Raw genomic sequence first — 27,613 nt, 5'->3', positions numbered from 1 at the left:
TGGGGCAGAGGAGGTGAATCAGATACATATCCACCTGCAGACAAGGACAAAGAGGGAGCATAGAAATATGAAAAGTTTGGTTAGGTGGGGGCCCTGAACCAGTTGTTTTTACATTCTTATGGTGTGTAGGCAATGCATCGTTTTTTAAAGGCTATCTTCTAGGAAAAGAAAAAAATGAGAAAAGTACCAAGAACATCAACTATGCACAAGCCATCCTGGTCACCCCTGAGGTCTGATGCCCCATGCTCCCCCATAGTGGGTGGGCTGAGACTAGAACCACGGTGCTTCAAGTAAGATTGAAAACACATACACTGTTTCTATCAAAGAACCAACTGGAAGCATGGTTGATGGCAACCCCTTGGTGACACCAATACCTGGTACAAAATGGAAGAAACATCAACAAAAAATATTAACAGCAAACATGTGTATGATATGCCAGCACTGGTATAAGCATTCTGCCTATGGTAATTACACTAACTTATTTAAGACGCACAATAACTCTCCTGAGGGAGATACTGCTACCATCCCCATTTTACTGATAAAGCAACTGAATCACAGGGAGATCGCAGCTTGCTCAAGACCACACAGCCAGGGAGTGGCAAAGCTGGGATTCAAACCCAAGCAGTCTGGCTCCAGAGCAGGGCTGTTTGCCGTATTGCCTCTCTTAGAGCACTAATAACAAACCTCTGCTGCCTGCATCCGAGCAAATCACCCAGCTCAGGTGGAGACTGCAGGCAGGCACCTTCTTGGATGAAGAACTAATCCCTCCTGGGTTAATGAGGACAGAGAAGGGGCAGAGTCACAGGAAGCATGCATGCGCAGGCCTGTGGACCCTGGGGGATGGCCATCTCAGGGGCAAACGGGTTGCACTGTAGAGCCCACAACGAGTTCAGGTCAACCCCTCGGTCTGGGAGCACCCAGAACCAGGAGGTGAGAGAACAGCTCCCTCTCACTGGCCAGCTCCCAGAGGATTCAAACGGACTATCCTCCTGAAGTGTCATAGCCCGTGGCCATAGTCAGCAGGTACTGATTCCACAGGTGCTATCAGAGCTGTCCCAGGGCTCCCGTCCCAATCCCTCTCAAGGTAAGAGTTCCCTGAAGATCTGAACCATCCCTTTCTGACCCATAAGGGCATCTTTCCCTGGCTTTATGGGACAGAGCCCTCCCACATGCTTACCTTAGTGGAAGACAGGCAGAGCTTTCCAGATTATGCCCGTTTTATAGACAGGAACACTGAGGCACCTGGGAGTGTAAGTCAAGCTGACTTTGCTCTGTGCTGCTGGGAACAGCTCTGGCTCTGGGCCAGGATAAGCCGGCTCCTGGCACTAAATCATTATTCTCCAAGCCGCTGAAGGAGATGAGCATAATTCATGAGCCTTCAGTGCACTTCCTGCAAAGGAGCAGCCCTCCCAAGGGCACGTGCTACTCAGGTAAGGCAGCATCTGCTCAGGCAGATGGCGGCAGGGATGTCCTCTCAGGGAAGGCATCCCCCCGCCACAGTGCTCCTCCCTCATGGAGTCCCTCAGGACTGCGGTGCTTCCTGCCCATGTGAAACTCAGAGAGAAGTGAGAAATGTCCAGCCCTTCTCCCTGCCCAGGCCCCATCCCCGTCTGTACCCACCCTTCAAGCAGGCTCCAGGGTCTCTGCCGGCCTCCTCAGGTCATCTCTTTCCCCGGAACCCTCAAACCCCACAGCTGCACCCCATCATGGCACTGCTCACTGTCTGCCTTCTCCCCCCCATATCCCAACTCACTCAACAAACGTGACTGTGCCACAGCCTGCGAGAGGCCCTGGGAAGGTAAAGACAGACTTTGCCCTGGAAATATTCACAGACCTGCAACTGAGTTGAAACCACTGACTGAGGTGGGTAAGAATGGCCGGCTGACTGCGGACCAGCCTCACAGAGCCAGGCTGGGCACAGCTGCTGGATCCCGGCAGGTGCCTTCACAGATGTTTGGGTAAGTCATTAAACCTCTCCAGACCTCAGAGACTCATCTTTTAAACTCCCTTCCATTTCTTCTATGAAGCAACCTGCCAGGGTCTCTATACTTCCCACGGGGCCAAGCACAACATCTTCACTATAGGAAACAACCCATAAAATACTGGATGCTTGGGCTTTTATCCACAGTATCCAGATACCCACCTGCCTAATCCAAATGCCAACTTCTTGTTTTGTTCTTCTTAGAGTACATCTGTCAGGATTGCATAGGCTATGCCATGGTAACAAACAACTCCCAAATCCCAGTAGTATAAACAACAGAGGTTACCTCTCATTCATACTACGTGTTCATCGTGAGTTGACTAGGAGCTCCGACCCGCACCTCCTTACACCAGGACTAGGCTGACGGCGCCTCCACCATCTAGGAGCACGAGAGGGTAGGAGGAAGGAATGTGGCAAATCACATGAGCACTAAAAGTTTCCCCACTTTAATGTCATGTTTCTTTCTGCTCATAGTTCACTGGTCAAAACAAGTCACACATCCACACCTAACTGAAGAAGGTAGGAGAGTGCAATGCTTCCACGTGCTCAGTAGAAAGACAACCAGAAATAGATGGGAACTGCACCAACGACCACAAGCAGGATTTGAGCAGGAGTTAACGATACCAAACTGGACAAAAGGCTGAATATGATTTTGTCTTCTCTTTAGATCAGAGAATCTCGAACTTCTGACCTCAAGTGATTTGCCCACCTCGGCCTCCCAAAGTGCTGGGATTAGAGGCAGGAGCCACCCGGCCTAGATCAGAGAATCTCAACCTTGCACTATTAACATTTGGGGACAGATAATTCTTTGTTGCAGGAGGTCCTGTGCATCACAAGGTGTTGAACAGCACAGCATCCCTGGCCTCTACCCACGAGATGCTGGTGGCAAACTCCCTCTCCAAATTGTGACAACCAAAAATGTCTCCAGACATTGCCAAATGTCCCTGGAGGACAAAAATTACCTCTAGTTGAGAACCTCTGCTTTAGACTTACAAGAAGTATACTCTTTATTAAAGAGCAAAGAAAATAATGACATCACCCTCCTCCCTCAAAATATCTTACTCAGAACTCTCTTAAGAGACAGTTTTCTCATCTGCAATATAAGAATGCTGGTACCCACCTCAAAGGGTCGTTGTGAGGATTCAACAGGCAAATGCCTTTAGAGCACTCAGCCCAGGCACATGGTAAATGGTAAGGGTGAGGCAGCAGTGGCATTGCCTGTCAGTAACTGGGGCTCACTGTGTTACTGTTACCATCAGCACAGCTGCTAGCATTACTGTCCGTGAGAAGTGATGGGAACAGCCAGGCAGAGATTTCTTTTTCAGAGAGCCAAGGGAGCCACTCGCTTGGCCCAAGGTCATCCTGGCCCCAGACAGGAATCCAACGCTGGAAGGCTGCTGCAGAATTCTTGCCATTTGCACCCCAGCCCCCAACAACTGAAGTCAAACGACATCTGTGCCGTGATTACGGTTGAGGTAGGTTCTGGAATGTGCTGACGCTCAAGTGTGAGCAAGCACAGAAAGATGAAAAACCAGTGCCTGCCCCCGAGGAGGGCTCCTGACATGGGACTAGGTCACCCACAAGCCTACAATGACCACTTGTGAGGCTGCACGTGGCTTGAGGCCGGCCTCTGCCTTTTCACCAAGGGCTAGAGAATGGAAGGAGAGGATGGAGTCGATTTTAAATTAGCAAAAGGAAAAGATTGTACAGGGAAAATGTCATATTTTAAGACATTAAGTTTTGACAGATGGCCTCACATGTAAGACAGGGTCTCGGAATCAGGGAGGGGATACTTCAGGGTCATCAAGCCCACTCTCCCTCCACCCACTGGGGGATTCCTCTTGCGGTGTTGATGGACAGCCACCTTGTCTTCGCAGGACCACTTCCAAAGACAAGCCTCAGGATGGTCGAGGCTACACCGGATGCTTCTGACAGGCATACAGCTTTCTCCCCTCCACAGTGGTTTATGACAACTGGCTCCAGAATCAGCAGACCTGGCTTGGAATTCCAGCTCTGCCATTTCCTAGCTGAAAGGCTCTGCCAAGTTCTCAGCCCCTTGCTCACTCTTCAGAGCCATCAGCTGTCATGCAGTCTGAGCCCTTGGCTAAGGTACCAATCAAGGAGGCAGGCATGGAGGCACAATCCAGCCTACATAATCTCCACCAAGCCCAGTACCTGGCACAGTCCACCTGAGGGACAACTTTCAGTAATTTGTGCAAAGTCTGCATGCTCTGCTACAGCAGCCCACCTGACCCTCAATTCCTTTACCTCGAAATGTTTCCTAAATCTCCATCAAGTTATTATGAGAACTAACGACAATGTATGGAAAGTATTTAGCAGTGTCTGGAACAGCAATCATTGTGATGAAAATTATAACAAGCTGGGTGCAGCGGCTCACGCCTGTAATCCCAGCACTTTGGGAGGCCGAGGCAGGCGGATCTTTTGAGGTCAGGAGCTCAAGACCAACCTGGCCAACATGGTGAAACCCCATCTCTACTAAAAATGCAAAAATTAGCCAGGCGTGGTGGCGCATGCCTGTAATCCCAGCTACTGTTTAGTCATTGCTGGAGCTGGAGCAGCTGGGATGTAGGGCATCATGCTCTGAGGCTACACACAGCAGCAGGGTCCTGGGCTTGCCCTCCAAAAAGCATTTTTTCCTCCTAGGCCTCCAGGCCTGTGATGGGAGAGGCTGCCACGAAGGTCTCTGCAATGCCCTGGAGACATTTTCTCCATTGTCTCAGCTATTAAAATTCAACTCTTACTTAATTATGCAAATTTCTGCAGCCTGAGGCTGAGGCAGGAGAATCACTTGAACCAGAGATTCAGTGAGCCAAGATCACAGCCACTGCACTTCAGCTCAAAAAAAAAAAAAAAAAAAAAAAAAGAAGAAAAGAAATTAAAAAAAAAAAAAAGAAAAAGAAAATTAGGACAACTCCTGATGACCTAATATATAGCCTTGGTCAAGGTCCTGACTCTAAAGCAACCACAAGCCTAAATACTGCATCACAGGGCTGCAATAAGGATTAAATGAAACAATGTATGAAAGGAGTTTAGCACAAAGTGAAGGGCTCAGGCCTTGACAGACATCAGCAATTACTGTTACAGACTCCCACAGCCTTTGGTCTGAATTCTGTATCCTGGAGCTCATGCAACCTAGCACAATGCCTGGTACATAGGAAGGGCTTGAAAAACATCCGCCATTGTCATTATCACATAACTTGCATACCCTTTGTTATGAATCCTGCATCCTGGAGCTTCACATAAGCTTGATCTCCTGATAAAGCCAAGGATTTGGAGTCAACCCATGTAAAGGGGCTGGTGCAAGGCCTGGCAGAGTCAGGGTCCGGACCCAGCAGCACCCTTTGCCCCCGCTACTCGCAGAGGGCCCCAATCCCTGAAGGTGGTGAGTGCCATCCTTCCTCCACAAACCTCCTATTTCTCATAACTCTGCACCCCAATGACCCACAAGTTTGTCAACATCTCTTCCAATGTGTACTCCTCAATTTCTCCCAAATTTTCAGTTGTCGTAACGCTACTTTTAGAACTTTAAAATATTCTTCCAAAACAACTTTAGTTTCTAATTTAACCAAATAAGCTAAAAATAAAATGTGGTACCCAGAACAGAACATGAACATCTCAATGAGGCCTGGTTGGTCCAGGTGCATGGCTAAGCATCAAACCTGTATTGCTATGGCCCAAGGTGTCCTTGTCCTTGCTGGCTACCACACCTCCATAGAGCCTTCTGGAGCATGACAGCAGCTGAAACCTGTCTTTTCATACCATCAAACCTACACTATCCCGTCAGTACTTGCACAGCTACCCCTTAGCAGCTGGGTGGCCTTGGGAACATCACTTCTAACATCAGCTTTCATCATCTTAAAGATCACTAGGGCCACTCTGGACCCTAATGCTCAAGGGAAGGCTTCAAGGGTTTCATTTCTAGGAGGCTTCTGACCAGGTACAAAGCTTTACACCCACTGCATTGCACGGAACCTCCCTTGTCCCACTGACCCCTGCACTCTTTATAAGCTTGCTGGTCATCCATCCTGGCTCAGCTCCCCCAGACCTGGGTCTCCAGTAATGTGCCTTTATCCAAGGTGATGCCATAACGCAGAACGGCAGACGCCGAAGGTGCCTTCTCCCATCTGACACGAGTCCACTCTCAAGATGACAGCAGCACTGGTGCAGATGTGGCAGGTGACTCCACCCTACAATCGCTGCCAGTCCTCCCAGACCAGCCTCAGATAACAGGCACTCAAATGAACCATGTGCTTGCCACAGTCAGTACTTTGCAACAAACTCCCTTTGACACCCTTCCAAACAGAAGGCCTCGTACACCCCCTCTGCTTTGGTGGTGGCTGATGAATTTTAAACTCTGACACACAATAGTTCATTCAGTCCCCGTCTCTCCACAGGATTTTCACTAACACATTATTGAAGGCTTACCTGAGAGCCAGACCCATCTTCACTGTGGGGAGCACATGAAGATGACATCATGAGTGCCTTGCCAATAGCTCTGCCAAGGGCCGGCTGTCTGCCACCTACCAGAACAGGCCTGGCTAGCCTGGCACACCTTGTTCTGAAAATAGGAAGGGGCCATCACTTTGACCCAGACTGGGCTCAACATGTGCTCACAAAGCAACTGCTTTAATAATGCTTTCTGGAAATTTCTTAGAAATGAAGCCCAGCCTTAGCAGACTATAGTTTCTGGAATTCACGTTTTCCTAATTTCCCAAAAGCTGGGATAATTTTTGCCCCCTCTGGTTGTCCGGTGCCTTGATCTCCCTTCTTAGCTACTTCAATTGACTGATAAAACCACCCTGTGATGGTAATAACCAGGTTCCCAAGTGCCCAGGAAAATAAGTCCTAGGGGTGGACTTCATTTAAAGCAGACTGTGGTTTCTGCCTCAGTTCCCTCTTGCTCCTGGTTGGATTACACTTGCTGCCCAGGGGCCCAACAGAAAACAGAGAGGCGCTGCTTCCCTCCACCTCCCTGAGTTAATGGTGTATTGCTTGGCTTCTGCCTCAGGCTGATCGCACCCTTGTTCCTCTTGCTCTGAACAAATCTTCAAGAACCCTTCTGATGCCCTTGGCATATCCTGAAGCTGTTAACCCTCCTGGCCCTGCTCTAAAACCAACAGGCTGGTGCTGCTCTCCCACTCACCCTGGCTTACTTGACTTCTAATTCCATTTTTTCATAGAAGTCCTCAAAACCTAACTCAGATCTGAGGGTTCCTCTGCAGCTGCACTCATTTCTTTCAGTGCCTCATGCCGCCCTTTGCTTCTTCCTCAAAGCATTCCCACATGTTCGTTAAAGTTTCCCTAAGAGTCTCCATCAAAGCCAGTGAGTCTCCACCTGCCCACACAACCGCATCACCTGAGGCGCATTTTAAAAATTCCAATGCCCAGGCCCCACCCCAAGATTCCAGTGGGGCTTTGCTAGGGTGGGATCCAGGCCTCAATAGCTTTAACAGTCTCCAGGAAATTCTAATGGCAGCCAGGGCTGGGACTCACAACCTGGGCCACGATCTCAAACACTAGTGTTATCGGGATCACCCTGGGAGAAACAGCGCACAGAGGCCTAGCTGGGTGCAGCAGGGTGGGTCCTCCATCTTCTATAAGCTTCCCCAAGCAATGCTGACAATGACAAAAGTTTGAGAACCACTGGACTGTCCGGAAAGTGGGAGAATTTGAAAAGGAGATTTTCCCCATTGGGCTTTTTACTTGGAAACTCCTGAGCTGTTTCCCTGTGGTTGAAATTATCTAAATAGAATTGTCACATCAAGTTGTGTGTAAGTAGAGTTGGTTGGTCAAGAGCCTTTTTTTTTTTTTTTTTTTTGAGACTGAGTCTCACTCTATTGCCCAGGCTGGAGTGCAGTGGTGCAATCTCGGCTCACTGCACCCTCCGCCCCTCTGCCTCCCGAGTTCATGCCATTCTCCTGCCTCAGCCTCCCGAGTAGCTGGGACCACAGGCGCCCGCCACCACACTCGGCTAAATTTTGTATTTTCAGTAGAGACGGGGTTTCACCATGTTGGCCAGGCTGGTCTCGAACTCCTGACCTCAAGTGATCCATCTGCCTCAGCCTCCCAAAGTGCTGGAATTACAGGCATAAGCCACCGCTCCCAGCCTCAAGAGGCATTTTTAAGGGTAAAATATTACTGCTACTGAAGGAAAAAACAGTATGCACATGCACACACACTCCTCATTTTTGCAGCAAAACCTGTACAAACCTGCCTGCCCATCCCGGAAAGAAACTGCCACCGTGACGGTCTTGCTGTGCACGCACTGACTCTGCCAGACTTTCCAGTAAGATCTCTTTCTCAGTCACTCCTGGAGCTTCCTCACCAATACTGCTGGCCCTCCTTGCTGCACATGTGTTGCTGCAGCCAAACAGGGTTTCTCAAACATGGGCTGTTCATCAAGTCTGGCATATGCCACCAGTACTATTATTTAATATTTTCTCTTAAATCTACTCACTTTTTAAAAAAGAAACTATCTCATTGCCATAAAGGAGACACTAGTATCTGTGCCATACAGAAGATTTCCATAAAAACAAGCATAACTGAAACAAAACAACATTATTATATATTTGGGGCCCCACTGCCTGCAGAAGGCCGGGATCCTGCGGCCTGTTTCCTCCTGGTCCCACTCCTTGCTTTTTAGAAAGGGAGGTCACATTCAGACTTTCTCCTAGAGGCCATTCAAGGACTGAAAGGGGGCTGTAAGGAGACATCTTCTTCATTATGGGGTTTACAGTAATTAATGCAGCCACATCTGGGCACCATCCTTGTCCCAGGACATTTTCCAGAAAGGACTGCAGTACCGACAAGTGAAAGTCACTGGGACAGCTGGTCCCACGATAAGAGGATGAAGCCCACCCTGGCACTGGTTATTCAATCTTCCCCAGCTTCAGCCTCTGTTTCTCTGTATGGAGTTTAAGGTCCTTCACTCACCATCTGGAAGAATGAAATGGGTTACCGATAACATAAACCGCAAGCCCTTTTTGGGAACGTCTGCTGTCTCATATCGCAAAGAGGTGGAAATGAAAGAGCTGAAGACCAAATATCTGCTCATCTGCTGACTTTAATGAGCAGCTCCGCATTCTCCTGCCCAACAGGGAAGGAGGAAAAGCCCACTTACTGCTGCCCCTAGAAAACACCAGAGCAGGAAGGGTCGGATGCTTTCTGCTTACGCAAAAAGAAAGACAAATGTGAGCTTTTAAAACTGAGTGCAATTGATGAAAGCTGAACCTCAGAGTTCTAACCTGCTGGCCCACACTCTCATCTCAGAGGAGGACACGGCAGGGCTGTGGCTGCTAGCAAATTCACTAGCACACGGCCAGCCCCTCGGTATCCCTCCAAGACAGTTTCCATCTTCACTCGGCCTGAAAAGCTAACAGAAGTAAGAGGCCCTGCGTTTGGCAGGTGGCTGCAAATCCTGAGGGCCACTGCCACTGCCTGGCTTGAATGAAGGCTCAGGGCTTAATCATTAACCTGAGATCCCCCAGGATCCCCTTGCTGGTTACCATGGCACATGCAAATTTCCCACAGTCCCAACCCAATTCCTGCGTTCTCAGATTCTCGCTCTGGGGCACAGGAGGCCCAGCTAGGCAAGAAGACCACATGGGGGCCTCCCTTCTGTTGGAAGGGAGGGGAGAGGTGAGGAAAGAGGACCAGAAAATCTGGCTGAGACATATTTCAAATACTTAAAATCAGGCAGAATCAGCCAGCAAGGTGAACAAAATAGAGAAAGGGGGCGGCAAATTATCTAGGTTTTTCTATTCAACTCATGAGTTTCAGGGTTTCTAATTTTAGGGGAAATTGGAGTTTCTATGGCACTCTTATGCCTTCCTCCCTTGCCCCCATCTTATTAAGTGTAATTAGAGACAAACAAAAGCAGCATCATGGCTCTCTCCAGTCACATCTGGGTGGCTGGAGATGAGGCATCTCCCTTAGGCAAACACAAAAACGCCACCCGGGGCCTCACTCTCTTACTCAAAATAAGACTTGTTTCACACTGCAGTTATTAAAGAAGAAACAGGCCTATCCCAGGAACTTGGCCAAAAGAGATTCATAATGCTGGGCCTGACCACTGGCCCATGAGGTCCCAACAAGCCAGATCTTGCGGCGGCTCATGGAGTAGGGGGCAGAACTCAAAACGTTCCAGAAGCACTTACTATCTGCCTGCATAAAGACCCAACCCTAAAGGAGGCTTATGCGCAGTACCATCTCGTCTCTTCTTGGAAGGAAGCACTTTCCAAACTGTTCCCTCTGAGAGCCTAGGGGCAACACTCAAATTTTACCAATTATAATAAGCAAATATGATCCAACTTAAAAAAAATGATTCCAGGCTTTGAAAAGCATGTTTGCACCTGATCAATGACAGCTACAAGTAAACTGAACTGACTGTAGACCCGCCATCAACTCAGGTTCCACAGGGACTGCATGATCGATGAAGCAATGAATGCTCTGTGAGAGCTCGCCCTGTTATTCTGAAATCACAGTGATTAAAATACCCACTTGGCAGTCATGTGTTACCTGGTAGAGACAGCCTTACTGGACAACATTGCTCACAGATTTCAGAGCTGGAAGGGACACGAGAAATGATCTCCAAGCCTCCCTCCTGTCGCCCAACTCCACCTTTGGGGCAGATCAGGGGGCTATATCCCAAGGATACTAAGGGACTGGGCCTAAGTCATCATCGGGGCAGACATGTCCTCCAAGTCCTGGCCCAGGTTGTCCAATGCACCTCACCTCCTCTGTGTGAGGGGTCCCTTGGACTTTTCTTGAGTTAAATAAACACCCACAGTCACACTCACACACAGAGCCTTGTATAAAGACAAGCACACATATAAACTATGCTTTTCTGCCTCCCAAGATGTTGGACAAGGCCAGGAAAGTGCGAGATCAGTATTAGAGGGCTCAGGGGAGGAGGAGAGGAGCAGCCGCTGCATATACCCCCAGAACCCTGTACCACTGAGGCGTGCATTCTTTCAGAAGCCCACAAGCTCCTGTCCTGCTAAAATCAAGTCTGATTTCTCAAGCTTCCTTCCCTGCCCAATGGGTAAGGGCAGAAACCACCTCCTGTGCTGTGCAGAACTCACACCCACTCTGCACACCTGAAGCAGAGCCCTGCCCAGCCGCCCGGCTTACCAGCTGTGCCCACCTGGAACCCGCACTGCCCGGGAGCCCCTTCCCTCTGCCTCTCCAGTCACTGAATGGGAGCAGGATCACCTGGGGCACTTGCTTATGGGCTGAGCCCAGGGACACTGACAGGGCCGCCTCCCAGGCACAGGGAGCCACCCAGCAGGCCACACTGAGTCAGCGGCCAGGGTCCAAAATTTGCTTCCTGGAGAACTTGGAAGGGACACCGCCCAATGGCACTCTCAGAGAAGCTTTCATTCTCACGACGTCAATGCTGAGAGGACTGCCAGGCTGATTGGGAAACAGCTCCATCAAGATTTTTTGTCTAGTTGGTTTTTAAACTGCACAAATGCCAGAAATCTCCTTCCTGCTCTCTACTGCTTTTAAATGTAAATCGAAAGACCTGTTCGTACTTGTCCCCGGAATCCCTAATATCGGTCCCTCTATTAGTCTCTGGGGAAACATTAACTCTGTTGAAGTCGAGGCAGAGGGGGCTGACACCCTGGGTCCATTTAAGGCACTGACCAGGCACGTGACCCTGGGTAAATCTGCCCCTTTCACTGGCTCTTTAAATGCAGCGGAAAAATACATTCTAGTTAATCTCACTCAGAGGCAAGCTTCCCAGTTACTGCCACCTGCTGTTCCCTTCCTTCCTTCCCACAGGCCTGAATGCTCACCTGCTTGGACTGCAAGACAAAACTGCACTTTACACATCTCTAATCTGGGTGCTTGCCCGCCTCTCCAGGAATAATTCCAGATACTCCACATATAGAATTACGCAACCACACGGCATTTCTCCTGCAAATTTCAAGTCTTTAAGGGCCATAAAAAAAATCATCTCCACTTTTTGTTCCTGGAAGCTCTTTGTAATTTTTTTTTTTAACCTGCTGTCAGACAGCGGAGTGGGAGAAGGAGACTTCTTCTGAATTCACAGAGACTCCCCAAGCATTTCTGGGCCTCTGCTCCAAACCACTGTGGACATGAAAGGCGGACATTGATGACAGCTGCTACAAACCACCTCAGCGTCCCCAAGTTTCTCTCTGGCCAGAGAGAGGAAGAAGTGGTGGAAAGTCCAGCCAATCACACCACAAAATGGGAGCCTCAGGTGCCTCAAATTAAAGGGAGTAAATTCAACAGCTAAACCTCCAAGGCTGAGGCAGAGGTTGTTTTGCTTTTTAAATTTTTCCCAGCAGCAGGCAAAAATCTCCAGCTCTGCTACTGAATATAACCAGTGCAATTTCCAATGGTCTCACGACCCCATTATTTCCTTTTCAGTGCCCCTCCCTCTCCACCATACCCCATAATTACAGAGAGTTTAGGGCTGGGCTTTTTCATGATGCTGCTTCTTTACACTCACGACAACACAGAAGGAAAGGTTATTTAAATCTGAGTTGGAAGGGTAAAATCAGCATTGTTAAAAGGGCAGATTAAGAACACATTTCCCTGGGTTTTAGGTAATTCAAGGTCACTTGCAATAAGCAAGACAGAAATGGAATCATCAGGCACACATGGGCAGTGGGGTCTACCGAGCACCACGGGGCAGGGTCACACAGGCCATAAACATTATACGGAGCTGATCGTTAATGTCTCTGACTTAAAAAATCTGCCCTGTTAAAGAATTCAAGGGCATGATTTCCTGCCTGACCCCGGTGTTTCACAGCCTTTGCCTCAGAATTGGAGCCCTTCCTGGTCCTCCAAAGCCCTCTCTGTCCTGAAAAGCAAGCTTACATTAATAACTAAGACTGAGGACTCCAGCTTCAGCATTTACTAACTGGGTGACCTTGGGAACATCATTCAACTTCACAAAGCCTCACTTTCTTCATTTATATGTATAAAGTGTGGATAATAATAGTCCCTTATTGCTTCATAGGGTTTCACGAGGATTAAAGGAGACTGGGGTTATCATGTACCTCACATAGTAAATTGCTCCATAAATGATCATCATCAGCAGAATGATGAAGGAACACACACTGCTTTGGGAAAGGCTGGCAATCCCAGTGCCAATGCTTTCTATGAAGTGGCATCTATAAAGTAAGATCATTCCCATTTCCCTCCCCGCATGGAATATATTTCCAGCAAAGACAAAAAGTAAGGCTGGGAATGCCAAGTACTAAGTGTATAACACCATTTAATGAGCACCTACCATGTGCCAGGAATTCAACCATGTTTTCACAAATCCTCATTACCCTGCAAGACAAATCCTGTTAGCCCCATTTTGTACATGGGGAACTCGGGCTCAAAATAAGTCCCACCTCCTCCCTATTCCAAGCCAACATCTATGGGCAGACAAGAGACAAGTCAACATCCACAGGTCTGCTTGGTGGCCAGCATGAAGGGATGGATGCCTCGAATTCCGGGGCTTTATCTAACTCATGGCTGCCTCCCTGCAAACAGCAAGTAGGGGCATATTACTCACAGAACATTCTAGAGCTGTGGAAGTCCACAGGACTCACCTCTTTTGATCCCCTGAGTTGGGAATGTTAGAAACTCAGCCCAAGCAAGGGAAGGGAAGCAGCTTGTCCAAGGTCACATGGCAGCTCAGACACAGAGCTGACATTTGGGCTCAGGTCTATTGACTCTCGAGGAAGATCTTGCCTATGGATGCCTGATCATTCCTAGAAAGGAATTCACGGGCACAAGAAACGAGCAGGTGTAACTTTGAACAGACCCAGTTTCAGAGCTCTGCAAAGGTGAGTTGAGGAGACTCCTGCCTTCCTCCCTCCCAAGTCTGACGGGAAAGCAAGGTCAACATGTGCTGGGTGGGCTGCCTCCAGCTTTGCTCACCCCTGAACCACAGCCTCTAAATGAACAGTGTTTAAAATTACTTTCCTAGAGCCTTCATGAATTTCTATTTTGAAGCCACCCACTCGTATCTGCTACACACACTCTCCTCGTCTCCTCCCTCCTCCCACCTCCCAACGTGCAACTAATCTGCTTGTCAGTACCGTCTGTCTCCAGCAAAGGCGTCCCATCAGGTGACTGACCCCTGTAAGTAATTAAAGAATGATCCCACAGCCTTGGTGGAGGCCGACGGAGAGAAGGGTGACTGGTTAAATTAGACATGGGAGGGAGGCAGGCGCTGCTCACAGCCTACCAACTGCTCCCTTAACAGATGGTGAGCAGAGTATAGCAGGAGTGTAGCCCTGGAGCCAGCCTGTGAGGGCAAAAACAAGGCAGGAGCAAGGGGCCTCCCAGCAGACTAACTTCAGTCGGAGCCCCTGAGCTCTCCTGCTGCACACACTAAACAGCCGGCCACTTCCCCACACAGACCTGGGCGACCCTGGGCAAATCCACCGCCCCCTTGTGAGTCATTTTCTCACCTCTATGATGACCAGCATACTTTTATTTCCCTTCCTTTTTAATTTGAAAGAAAACACCAACTAGGAAATAAATTACACAAAGTACCACCCTTTGTGGACAGGGGAAAACTATAAAGTAAAAAACACCAGTTTCCCCTCTATCCCCCCAAGTAAGTACTATTAGGAGTTTGGTCTGTAGCCTTCCCAGCTGGTTCCTAAAGTAATGAGCATTAGAGTGTTTTGTGGCCAGGCACAGTGGCTCGTGCCTGTAATCCCAGCACTTTGGGAGGCCAAGACACAAGGATCACTTGAGGTCAGGAGTTCAAGACCAGCCTGGGCAAGAAAGCGAGACATTCCACCCCCGCCCCTACCCCACCCCCAACACACACACACACACACACACACACACACACACACACACACACACACCACTAACAAAAAATTAGCCAGGATTGGTGGCATGAGCCTATAGTCCCACCTACTCAGGAGACCAAGGCCAGAGGATCACTTGAGCCCAGGAGTTTGAGGCTACCGTGAGCTAGTATCATGCCACTATACTTGCTCCAGCCTGGGCGACAGAATGAGACTCCACCTCTAAAAAAATAAACATAAAAATTAGAGTGCTTTGTGTATCTGTGTGTATATGTGTGTATGTGTGTGTATAGATACACACACAGTTATAGATACATATACATATGGTTTTTTAAAAGAAGGATCATACTATATATATTGTTCTGCATCTTGAATATATCACGAAAATCTGTCCAAGACAGTCCATAGATCTACTTTGTCCCTTTTATGGTTACCTAAGCAAGTTCAAAATTGACTCAGCCTTTCCCCTGTTACTGGACATTTAGGTGTCTCTAACCCTTTACACAATGAACAACCTTGTACTTATGCTTGTATGTGTACAGCCTATCGTTTCTATAGGTGTCAGAGTCCCACAAGTGAGATTGCTGAATCCTAAGGAACATACATTTTCAATTTCAATAATGATGGTAATTTACAGGGGTCAGCTGCCTAAGGGTAATACTATCAATTACCGTCCAAAAAGGCAGTACCTATTTGTACAACTCAATTATGTATTAGAGTTGCAAACTGCTCCCTGGACCACAAGAATGAGGCTCAGGAAGCCAGCAGGAAGACCCCCCAGGTCTTTGCTGCCTACATTCTGTAACCCCCACCCCTGATCCTCCTACCAGTACAGCTTCCATTTCACCTTATTTATACATTGGCTTTCCATGTAAGATTTCACTCGGGAAAAAAAGGGGGATTGCTCTGGCGAAGGTTTTTGAAAACCACAGGATGAACTCTAAGGTTCCGTTCATCTTCATTCTTTAACAATGGGGAAGATAAAATGGTTTTATGTAAAAATAACTTTCTCATAATTTTACAACAAAACCTTATTTTCCATGATAAATGAGATAGTCTGCTGTGGTCTTTTACAGTAAGTATCAACAAAACCACCTCATATAATAGCTAGCATTTACATAACATTTACTATATGCTTAACTTTTTAAGGATAATCCCATTTGATCCTCTCAACAGCCCCCTTGTACAAATGCAGAAACGGAGACTTAGAAGTTATTTCTGTAAGGTCCCACCAGGATGCTGATAACAGGTAGAGAGGAATGGACCTGGGCAATCCATCCCAGAGTCCACACACTTGCCCGACACCTTACCATCTTCCAGTGAAGGGTCTGAGCACACACACAGGTATACACACATGCACACACACAATGCTTCCAGATCTTGGCCTGTTGGCCTCTTTGAACCAATTGTATGCAACAAGCTTCTGGGTCAGCCCTTTCTGCCCAGATTGGTGAAGCAAGGAAACACTGTCATTTTTGAGAACGCAGCTGCCCCTCCTTTTCTCCCTGCGGACCTCCCAGCCACCTCCCAACCCCTGGGCCCCCATCTTCCCTACTGTGGATTCTTCATGACCTCCTCCTGGGCAGATCTGGTCTCATTTCACAGCCACACACCTGAATGAGGAGGCAGTGAGGATACCAAGAAGAGCAGCCCCACAGGGGAGAGAAGAAGCAAAAGCAGGCTAGGGCCCCAACCTCCAATTCACTGTCTCTGACTTTCACTCTACTGCCCCCAAATCTCATTCAGATGGGGGAGAAAGAGAAGAGCCAGAACTTTTGTACACACGGATGGAAGAATGAGCCAGGGTTACCAGGAATTGTAGTCTAAAGAGGGGATGAAGAAAGAGAAAAGGAGAAAGAACAAAAGAGAAGAGAAAAGGGAAAGTGGCAGATGGAGCAAGCAAAGAAAAACAAGGAGCCTCGTCTCAAAAGCTCAAGTGGCCTGGGCTTGAACCCCCAAACCAGGCCCCCTGCCTCATTCCCCACTGCAGGAAGATGAAGAAAAGCAGAAGGGCAGACCCAGATCCCTCGCAGGGATGTTGCACAATCAAAAGAAAAGGAACTCTGCTTGGAGCCAAGCCTGCAGCTGAGTTCCCATCAGCATACTTCTCCACACCCTGCATGTGGGCACGCCCATGGCAGACACCCAGCTGAGGATCCAATGAGGATCCTACACTCTCCCACGGGCCCGGCCCCCAGGGGCTTCCAGAGAGGCATGGCATCAGACAGGAATGCTGGCACCACCCAGGTACAGGGAGAGTGGCACAGGACATCAACATGTTAGGAGACTAGAGCCATGCAGGGCTTTCGTGCTGCAAATGTTTCTGTATTGCTCTGGAAAGGACTGACAGGTCAGAGATGCTGAGACAACACGACATTTTTTAAAAAAAAATTTTTTTTGAGATGGAGTCTTGCTCTGTCGCCAGGCTGGAGTGCAGTGGCACATTCTCGGCTTACTGCAACCTCCGCCTCCCGGGTTCAAGCAATTCTCTTGCCTCAGCCTCCCGAGTAGCTGGGACTGCAGGCATGCGCCACCACGCCCAGCTAATTTTTATGTTTTTAGTAGAGACAGGGTTTCACCATGTTGGCCAGAATGGTCTCGATCTCTTGACCTCATGATCCACCTGCCTCGGCCTCCCAAAGTGCTGGGATTACAGGCGTGAGCCACTGCGCCTGGCCTAATATTATTTTTTAATAGAGACAGGGACTCACCATGTTGCCCAGGCTGGTCTCTAACTCCTAGACTCAAGCAATCCTCCTGTCTTGGCCTCCCAAAGTGCTCCCAAAGTGAGCCACCATGCTCAGCTAATAGGACTTCTCATAGCACATTCTAATTAATGTCAGTTCTTGGAAGCCAGAAAAATTATTGCAGCATTGTTGGTAACAGCAAAAGATTGGAAACACCCTAAGTAACTATCAAGAGGAAATTGCTTAAAAAAAACTACTACTAATAATGGTACATCCAGATAGAGGAAATGTTATCAGCTATTAAAAAAAAAACAAGACATGTGAGCCAGACAGAAGTAAAAAAAGTAAAAAGAGCATAAATAGCATATTCTCACTTCAGTAAAAGGATTGTGGAACACAGAAGGGGTCTAGAGACTGGGAATATTTCACTTCTTAACCTGAGTTGTGGGTACATGGGTGTTCAGTTTATCATTCTTTAAACTTTATATATGTTTTGAATGTATGATATTTCACAATTCAAAAATTTTAAAGGCTGGAACACATGTGCACATTTATGGGTGCACATGCACAAAAAATCTCTAAAAGCTGTTATGAATGCCTCTGACCAGGGACACTGGGAGGCAGTGGGACTGGGTATGTGATATAGTTTGAATATTTGTCCCCTCCAAGTCTCATGGTGAAATGTGGTCCCCGATGTTGGAGGTGTTGTCTGGTGGAAGGTGGCTGGGTCATGGGGGTGGATCCCTCATGAATGGCTTGGTGCTGTCCCCACCGTCATGGGTGAGTTCTCACACTATTAGTTCAAGCAAGAGGTGAGAGCTGGTTGTTGAAAGGAGCCTGGTACCTCCTCCTCTCTCGGTCTCTGTCTAGACACATGACACACCTGCTCCCCCTTCACCTTCGGCTAGGAGTAAAAGCTTCCTGAGGTCTCACCAGAAGTGAAGCAGATGCTCCACTATACTTGCTCCAGCCTGGGCGACAGGGTGAGACGCCGCCTCTAAAAAAAAACCATAAAATTTATGTTTGTACAGCCATGCTTGTACAGCCTGCAGAACTGTGAGCCAAATAAACCTTTTTTTTTTTTTTTTAAAAGAGATGGGGTTTCACCACGTTGCCCAGGCTGGTCTCGAACTCCTGGCCTCAAGTGATCCACCGACCTCGGCCTCCCAAAGTGCTGGGATTACAGGAGTGAGTCACCACACCCAGCCCAAATAAACCCCTTTTATTCTTATTTTTTTGGAGATGGAGTCTCGCTCCTGTCACGCAGGCTGGTGTGCAGAGGCGCGATCTCGGCTCATGGCAACCTCCACCTCCCAGGTTCGAGCGATTCTCCTTCCTCAGCCTCCCGAGTAGCTGGGATTACAGACGTGCGCTATCACACCTGGCTAATTTTTGTATTTTTAGTAGAGACGGGGTTTCACCATGTTGGCCAGGCGGGTATCCAACTCCTGACCTCAGGTGATCCACCCGCCTAGGCCTCCCAAAGTGCTAAGATTACAGGCGTGAGCCATCGCGCCCGGCCACAAACCTCTTTCTTAAATAAACTACCCAGTCTTAGGTAGTCCTGTATAGCAACATAAAATGGACTAACACAGTATAAGGGAGGTTTACTCTTTCATTCTATATTCTTTTACAGCTTTCTAGTGTCTTTTACCACATTCCTATCTAAAAAAATAAGGTCACTGGCAATTCTCCAGTGTGTTTCAGCATCATAGATCAGGAAAGTACCCAAGGCGACAGTTTCCCCATTTTACAGCTAAAGACACTGCAGCGCAGAGGGTCTGAATGTCCTGTCAAAGGCTGCCCAGCAAGTGAGTGGTAGACTCGGGAAGAGAGGCCAAGTGTCCCACCTGCAGTCCCGTGTTATCTAGCCTGCTCTCTCAACCAGGGATTCCCAGGCCACTCCAACCCCAAACCACCCGCCTTGCTTGTGCCTCCTACAGCTCCCTCCCCCACTGCAGTCTCAGGTGGGCAGGGAGAATTCAGGGAGGGGACCACAAATCCCAAGGTAGGAGTCACAGGGCACAGTCAAGGTTGGCACTCCGAGCTTTGAAGCCTCCCTACCCCATCCCCGGGGCTGCTGCCTCCAGCCTGTGTACACCCAGATGGGTGGACGGGCTCCAGGGCCCCCACTTCCCATCCTTATTCTCCAGGCATTGTCAGCCTGCATGGCCACTCCTGTGTCCTCAGCAGAGATCCTCCCAGCAAACTGATGCCAAGCAAGCCCACTAGGGAGTTCCACATACTGGCCACTTTGCAGTCACAACCACATTTGGCGGGGTGGATGGGGTTGGGGAGCACTTACCCTGATGCCTTCATGCCAACCAGGCACCAGACTCACCAGCTCAGCAGCCTTGGATGCCAGACCCAAGACAACGGTGGGTACCCGGAGCCAAACCAGACTCCAGTTGTTAAATACCACCCTTGTCAGTGTGTTTACATTAAAGAAAATCCTCGAAGGGCTGTGCAGAAGAATCACAAATGCTCAGAGCCAGGGGAAGTTAAGAAAGCAGGATGGTTTTGCTTGCAGCAAAAATCCACCATGCCTGCTTCATGTATTGGAGGCCAGAAACAACTTAATCCAAATTCTAATACTTCCTTATTTAACAAACACTCATAAACCTGAGTTCATACGTTCTTTTCAAATCCTACCCCACTGTGAGCCAGGCACACTAAGAAGCACGAAGACTAATTAGAAGAACTAACGTTTGGAGAACACTCACTATGAATTAAGATATAGCAGCTCTGTAGCTAAGCTCTTTGCACACAGAGCCTCTTTCAATCCTCGGGGGAGCAGCCCTGGGTGGGAGAGATGCATTTTACAAAAAAGGAAATCAAGGTTTTGGGGTTAAGTCACTCATCCAAGGTTACAGAGCCAGCAAATGGCAAAGTGAGGTCTGGCTGGCTCCAAGGCCCATTCCCCACCCACTACACAAGACACAGCCCTGTGCACAAGCCCTATTGATGACACGATTTTGCCCCCAACACGTGAGACAGGTAGGTTCACTGAAACATTGGGAAAGGAAAAAAAAGTACCAAGAGGAAAATAAGTTAACTATTAGGCACTGATGGTGGACAAACCACCCACCTTTAACAACTGTATGCATTTCCTTCACTTTCCCTCCACTTATTTCATTTATAATAAACCCACTGTGAAAGACATAGCCCTGTGTCCCCTCCATGAGGTTCTGGGCTTCCTCTAAATCTACTCTGTCTGCAGAGGGCCAGTCAGGCCTGTTACTTCCTGCTCCCAGACTCCCAACCCCACCCATCTGAACTCCAGGAATGGGAGCGTGCAAGCCAGATTGACAGTGGGGGAGAGGGAGTGTCTCCCCAGCAGTTCCAAACACAGCAAGAGCCTAGCATCCACCCATCACCCTGCCCTCTCTGCCTCAGCTCAGACCAAGGGTCCTGGTGACCCATCAGCCCACATGTGGACACCATGCCAGGCTGACAACCCAGGAGATGACTCATGTGAGAGAAGAGAACAGTCCAGGGTGGGCATACTTGCCCCCATGACAGACAGCCATGGCCCGAGAGCTGGTGGACTCTCTTGTATTAGGCAGGGGCAGTGTTGCCAGGCTGGGGAAGTGGGCCAGGTATAGGAAGCCAGGTTCAATCCAGGCTTGACCAATAACCCTCTTGGGGAAACTGTCTTAACCTCTCTGGGATGTCTCCTCACCTGTAAAAGTGGGGATAATCTTCCATCCCCAACTCCGTGGGGAGGACAGTGTTGGTAAAGGAGCCTATTCACATACACTTCCTAATAAAGCTCTGAGACACATTTTACAGATTTGATGTACCACTCCCTGCACACTGCAGCCACTACGAACACTGCGCAGCTCCCCGGTTAATCCCCTGCCTGGAGCATCCTCCGTGCTCTTCTGATCAAGAAGGTTCAAGCTTCGGCTCCTCTGAGAGGCAGATCCTGACCCCTAGCCCCAAGGCAGGCAGGCTGTTTCCCTCTCTGTGCACCTGCCCGCCCTCCCTCCCTCGCAGGACCTCAAGCTCCCCAGGGACCTCCCCATCACACTGGATAGGAATTGTGTGTATGCTGGGGATCAGGGCTCCTCCTTCTGTACCCATGACATGTGTCAGAATGCCTGGCATACACTAGGTACTCAATAAATGTTCACTAAATAAATAACAACGGGGTCAGGTATGGTGGCTCACGCCTGTAATGCCCAGCACGAGGCAGGCAGATCACTTGAGGCCAGGAGTTCAAGACCAGCTTGGGCAACATGGTGAAACTCCGTCTCTACCAAAAATATAGAAATTAGCCGGGCATGGTGGTGCACACCTGTAATCCCAGCAACTCCAGAGGCTAAGGCAGGAGAATTGCTTGAACCTGGGAGGCAGAGGTTGCAATGAGCCGAAATTGTGCCACTGCACTCCAGCCTGGGCGACAGAGCGAGAACCTGTCTCTAAATAAATAAATAACAAGTATTATTATCACTCTCTGAAATCTGTGAAAAGGACAGAACCCTCCTCGAAGGAAGGGCGGCTCCCCACTGGAGCCTCCAACACTGGGACTGACCAAGGTCACTGGCACCTCACTGCTCTCTGTCTGCTTCCAGCAAATATTTCTCACACCCCAAGTCAGCCTCCTCTAAACCTGGCACTGCAGATACAAGAGAGACACATCCCCAGCTCCCCACCCTCCACCACTGCAACACAGGGAGTTCTCCATCTAGGAATTCCCATCCAGAGGCCCTCAAAGAGAGCTGCAGGAAGAAAATAGAGCTTTCCTTATCTCTTCCTTCAAAAGGTCTATTTTTGTAGACGCATTATTACAATGGACACTAAACGTTGGAGGGGGTCACCTTGGGAGAGGATGTACCCTTCAGCAGAAGGTGACTTCACGGGAGGGACTCAGCTATGAGCTGTCAGCAGCCAAGGCTCACGGCAGCTGGGGGTGGAGAAGTCAGCTCTGAAGGGGGCTTTGGGCAGCACATCAAGCCTTTTCAAATGGTCCCCTCAAGGAGTTTCATCTAGAACAGAACATCAGTCCAGTCACCTAAGAAAGAAATGACACATAAAGTCACAGAGGAAAAGCATGGGTCTGTGATTTCTTTTTTTTTTTTTTTTTTTGAGAATTTCGCTCTTGTTGCCCAGGCTGGAGTGCAATGGCGCAATCTCAGCTCACTGCAACCTCCGCCTCCCACGTTCAAGCGATTCTCCTGCCTCAGCCTCCTGAGTAGCTGGGATTACAGGCATGCGCCACCATGCCCAGCAAATTGTGTATTTTTAATAGAGACAGGGTTTCTCCACGTTGATCAGGCTGGTCTCGAACTCCCGACCTCAGGTGATCCACCCGTCTTGGCCTCCCAAAGTGCTGGGATTACAGGCGTGAGCCACTGTGCCCAGCTGGGTCTGTGATTTCTACCTCACAACTGAGCTGATAGGCTCTAACGTGCTCTTTCCTGGTTTTAGATTATTTTTAAGAGCACATAATTTCACTTCAAAAAACCTGTTGATGAGTTGCTATGTGAATTTTCCATTTTCTCCCTCATCATTCTCAAGTTCCTAGTTCACACACTTGAAAAAAAAAATCTATTTTTTTACCTGTAGACTCAAACCACATCACATGAGCAGATAACCACATTAAGCCAGGGACAAGGCCTGCGCAATGAAATGGTTAAAACTTGGCAGTGGGCACAAAAATAACATGGGAGAAATGTCTGTCACATTTTGAAGTACTGAAAATCCAGCCAAAATATTTTTTTGTGGATGACATGATTTTCCCCCCAACACGAGACATGTAGGTTTATTGAAAAATTGGGAAAGAAAAAAGGAAAATAAGTTAAGTATTAGGCCACTATCCACTGATGGTGGACAAACCACTCACCTTTAACAACTGTATGCATTTCCTTCACTTTCCCTCCACTTATTTCATTTATAATAATTAACTGGGGTCATACTGTTTGGTAACCTGTTTTGTTGCCTGTTAGTGGTTCATCATTAATATCTTCTCAAGTAGTAATTCTTTATAGCAAATGTTTGCTGTTTTTAAGTGCCATAGGTCTAAATGTGCTCCAGTTTTACTTTTACTTACACACTATCCCAAGGTTGTAGGTATAGGATACTGGATATTTAGGTGATTTGTAATTCGTCATCAGTATAAAATAATGCTGCAATTAACATCCTGGGGCCAAATTATTTTTAAATCATAGTTGGTCCTTAACACAAATCTCCAGTGCCGAGACTCATGTAACTTTATTGAGCTAGCATCTTATAAACGTAAACAATGGGTTGTTCCCACCTGCAGCACAGTTACCAGAGGTCGTACACATTCAGGCTCACTATCTGCCTCAGCAACTCCAAAAGATGGGGGCTTCTCCTTGCTGGTGTTCTGCAGACAGTGAATCCCTGCTCCTGCAACCCCAGGGCCATGGATATAATTTTTATATACATATAATTTTTTTTTTTGCTATGTTGTCCAGACTGGTCTTGAACTCCTGGTCTCAAGAGATCCTGCTGCCTTGGCCTCCCAAAGTACTGGGATTATAGGCATGAGCCACCACGCCTGGCCTGGAGATGTTCTTTACCCCCACATCATAATAGTTCTTCTTTCTCAGCACCACCAACAACATTTATGCTTTTTACTAAGCAGCTGGCATGCGCTATAACATTTAACCCTCAAAAACATTCAGAGAGAAGCTGTTGCCCTCATTTGATGGATGACAGAAATTAAGGTTCAACATACAGAGTCCAATCAATGAACACAACTAGCATCATAGCACTCAGGATTTAAACCAAATCGTCTCCAAAGCCCAAGGGCACCAGCTTCAAACTCTGGCAATAAAATCTACAGTTCTGGTATAATGGACAGTGGAGACTCAGGAGAAGGGACAGTGGGAGGGAGGTGAGGAATGAAAAACTACATATTGGAGTACAATGTTCACTACTTGGGAAATGGGTACACTAAAATCCCAGACTTCACCACTCTACAATTCATCCATGTAACCTAAAACCACTGCACCCCCTGAAGCTGAACCCCCAAAAGGATGAGTTTCCATGGCATGGAGATAGCTATATAAGTGCAGGTGGCCCCACTCATCATGCTGGCAGTCACCAGAGAGTCAAGCAGGAAGGCTGGTGGCTCCACAGTCCACAACCACACGACAGGAAGCCATGAGGCTGACTCGTGATTGAAGGGCCACAGTACCTACGTGTATCTTATGTACAAGGTGCAGCATGCCTTATCAGCTAAAATATGGCACGTATGTGCTATGAACTTAAATTACTATCTCTGTGAGTTTGGCCCATGAGAGACAGAATTAAAGAATTGAAAGAGACTTCAGAAGAAATCAGCCAGTCCAATTCCCTCACCTTGTTTCCACAAACAAGAAAACTGGGGCTCAGGACGCTGGGTCACAAAAGCAGTTCACGGCAGACCCAGGTCTACAGCCTCCCAACCTAGCAGTCCAAGCAGTAACTCACAGCAGTATGTGAATCACGAAACTCACAAAAATTCCCAAAAATAAAATTTCTATTTTAAGAAAAAAAAACTACCTGAAGTGTAAACAAAGCTGAGTATCTAACTTACAGGACTTTGTTGAGGTATATGGTTTCATGTCTCTGGCATATTTGACCAAAAAACAAAGTCAAGAGATGTAAATAATAAAAACAACAAAAGCTAAAGACACAATAAGCTGTTTCCATCAAAGGTAGTTTTGTTTTGTAAAATGACATCAGAGTGTTACTGAAACCTTAATCACAGAGGCCTGGAACACACCCTGCATTATCCTGGCTGATACAAAAGAAGAAAACACACACGCATGCGACTAAGGAGGATCGAGCCCAGATCCACTGGTGTTATTTCCAACATCGGAAAACTACTCAATGGGTCCTACTGGGCTCTGAGTGTCAAACTGCACTAGGCCTTGGCAGTTTTCTTAGTAACTTGCTTTGTTCCTTCTTTCATTCATTTGAATATTATTTAAGCATCTACTCTGTTTAGGAGTTGAGGATAAAACATCAGTGAATAGGCCAGGTGCTGTGGCTCACAACTGTGGGAGGCCGAAGCGGGTGGATCGCCTGAGGTCAGGAGTTTGAGAACCAGTCTGGCCAACATGAAGAAACACTGTTTCTACTAAAAATACAAAAATCAGATGGGCATGGTGGAGCATGCCTGTAATCCCAGCTGCTCAGGAGGCTAAGGCAGGAGAATCACTTGAACCTGGGAGGTGGAGGTTGCAGTGAGCCAAGATCGCACCACTGCACTCCAGCCTGGGCAACAGAGCAAGACTCTGTCTTAAAAATTTAAAAAAAGAAAAGAAAAGAAAAGAAAATCAGTGAATGAAAGAGAAAAATCCTTACCCTGTGGAGCTTTCATTCTAGGGAGGTGAGGCACGCAATGAACAAGTCAGTAATACCACAGTATGTGTTAGGTGGGGGAGGCAGGAGGGTTCACAATTACATGGGCTGCTTAGAGAAGACCTCACTCTGGGAGTGGAGGCAAGGGGAGGAGGCCTGGGGGCATCTAGGGGATGTGAGAACAGGAAGGTGGCCCAAGGGGCTGGAGCAGGATGAGCAATGGGGTGAAGGACAGAAGCTAGGGACTTGACTTTGGCTTTTGCCCCAAGTGGAATGAGAGTCAATGGTCTCTGCAGATGATGCAAAAGAGCTGACTTGCATTTTAAAAGACCCCTTTATCATTAAACTTTTCCCTGAATGTCACCAAGAATTCCTATTTACATTCAGACAAACCCACACACAGGCAGACACCTACATACATTCACACACACCCGAGAGAATATGGTCCAACCCAGGTGCCCCCGCAGCACAGGTCACCCTCTAATGTCTGTGTGGTGCCGCCACCCCTCTGTTAGTCAGTCATTCTCATGCCACAGCACCTGTTCTGCAGATGGCTCAGGAATGGCCCCTTTCAACCATCTGGACCCAGGGATGTAATTCTCTCCCGTGCTTGAGGCTCACATCCCATTGAAGCCCTTCCTCCTTCCAACCAGAACCTACCCACTCCCTGGAGGCCGCAACAGAGGTCTGGGATGCCCAGCTCTCAAGGGAAGTCCAAGCGTCTGTCTCATGTCCTGCAGCACTTGAAGGAGATGAAGGGGTCTCAACTGAGCAAAGAAAGCAGGTGGAGGGCCAGTGTGGGTCAGAGCAGCCCATCCCTGTCACCTGCACTAGGAGCGGCACCTTCCTCCCTTCCCTACACCCGCCTCAGAAGGAACAAAAGGAAGAGCAAAGAGAGGTGAGGGGTGCAACCTGGGATGCTGCAGCGAGAACGGGAACCCAGCCACCCATCTGCTCTCGCCTTATTGATGTGGGTTATGTGAACTCACATAAGATTGGCAGTGGGTCTGGCACTCCAGGATGAGGGAGGAGCACGGATGAAGGGAGGAGCATGGATGGGGGAGGAGGGGCAGAGCACAGATGCACAAGCATGGAGGGAGAGAGGAGCACAGACGGAGGGAAGAGCATGGATGCAGGGAGGAGCATGGATGGAGGGAGGAGCATAGAGGGAGGGAAGTGCATGGATGGAGGGAGGAGCATGGATGGAGGGAGGAGCACACAGGGAGACAGGAGCACAGAGGGAGAGAGGAGCATGGATGGAGGGAAGAGCATGGAGGGAGGGAGGAGCATAGATGGAGGGAGGAGCATGGATGGAGGGAGGAGCACGGAGGGAGGGAAGAGCACAGAGGGAGAGAGGAGCATGGACGTAGGGAGGAGCATGGAAGGAGGGAGGAGCATGAATGGAGGGAGGAGCATGGATGAAGGGAGGAGCATGGATGGAAGTCCACCCGCCACATGCTTTATGGCACTGACCATGTTCTCGTGACACCAGCAACAGTCGTGCTTATTTCACAGATTAGGAAATGGATTCCCAGGAGGGGACCTGCCCAGGGTCACAGCATGACAAAGCTGGGACTCAGGGGTCTTGAGTCTGCCCAAGACTTCCCCACTTCCCAATTTATCTAATCTTCCTGGGGTGATAAGCCCCCAACCCCACTCCTCCAATGGTGATCCATGGTAGGGGTGCAGGAAGGGCAAGGAGGTCGGTGGCATTAGGTCTGGACTCTGAAGCCACAGACAGGATGGGAACCCACACCTGGGGGCACAGGATTCTCCCCAGAGAACAATAATGGACAGCTCATGTTTATCAA

The 27,613-nt window shown here is 48.5% G+C and overlaps 1 protein-coding gene across 17 annotated transcripts in view, besides 5 other annotated features; it reads right to left on the bottom strand.

Annotated features, from left to right (window-relative positions):
* KSR1 (kinase suppressor of ras 1) overlaps positions 1–27,613 on the bottom strand; it is a 169,988-nt gene that overhangs the window by 120,278 nt on the left and 22,097 nt on the right. For 2 of the 17 annotated variants that reach the window (XM_047436989.1, NM_014238.2), the window contains exon 2: positions 22,307–22,500. The exons of 13 other annotated variants lie outside the window; for them this stretch is intronic. The gene's annotated coding sequence lies outside the window, so the exon portion shown is untranslated. Of the gene's footprint in view, positions 1–11,134; positions 11,202–22,306; positions 22,501–27,613 lie in introns of those variants that run through there. 2 more of the 17 variants (XM_047436991.1, XM_047436990.1) reach the window with 2 other exon arrangements.
* Positions 1,172–2,371: an enhancer, noted in NCBI's record as "CDK7 strongly-dependent group 2 enhancer chr17:25830813-25832012 (GRCh37/hg19 assembly coordinates)". NCBI's record gives its function as "activates an origin of replication core promoter dependent on BRD2, BRD4, P300/CBP, MED14 and CDK7 cofactors, with strong dependence on CDK7, by STARR-seq in HCT116 cells {active_cell/tissue: HCT116}" and the evidence as "EXISTENCE:reporter gene assay evidence [ECO:0000049][PMID:35650434]".
* Positions 1,681–1,975: an enhancer, noted in NCBI's record as "tiled region #10172; HepG2 Activating DNase matched - State 5:Enh". NCBI's record gives its function as "activates a minimal TATA promoter and a strong SV40 promoter by Sharpr-MPRA in HepG2 cells {active_cell/tissue: HepG2}" and the evidence as "EXISTENCE:reporter gene assay evidence [ECO:0000049][PMID:27701403]".
* Positions 9,345–9,394: an enhancer, noted in NCBI's record as "active region_11905". NCBI's record gives its function as "activates an Ori minimal core promoter by ATAC-STARR-seq in GM12878 lymphoblastoid cells {active_cell/tissue: GM12878}" and the evidence as "EXISTENCE:reporter gene assay evidence [ECO:0000049][PMID:35858748]".
* Positions 10,135–10,204: an enhancer, noted in NCBI's record as "active region_11904". NCBI's record gives its function as "activates an Ori minimal core promoter by ATAC-STARR-seq in GM12878 lymphoblastoid cells {active_cell/tissue: GM12878}" and the evidence as "EXISTENCE:reporter gene assay evidence [ECO:0000049][PMID:35858748]".
* Positions 26,516–27,017: an enhancer, noted in NCBI's record as "H3K4me1 hESC enhancer chr17:25806167-25806668 (GRCh37/hg19 assembly coordinates)". NCBI's record gives its function as "activates a minimal SCP1, AML or CMV promoter by ChIP-STARR-seq in naive H9 embryonic stem cells {active_cell/tissue: H9 hESC(naive)}" and the evidence as "EXISTENCE:reporter gene assay evidence [ECO:0000049][PMID:30033119]".

This window comes from Homo sapiens, chromosome 17, assembly GCF_000001405.40.
Source record: "Homo sapiens chromosome 17, GRCh38.p14 Primary Assembly".
Taxonomy (NCBI): domain Eukaryota; kingdom Metazoa; phylum Chordata; class Mammalia; order Primates; family Hominidae; genus Homo; species Homo sapiens.
Note: the sequence above shows the minus strand (reverse complement) of the source record. Positions and strands in the feature narration are given on the sequence as shown.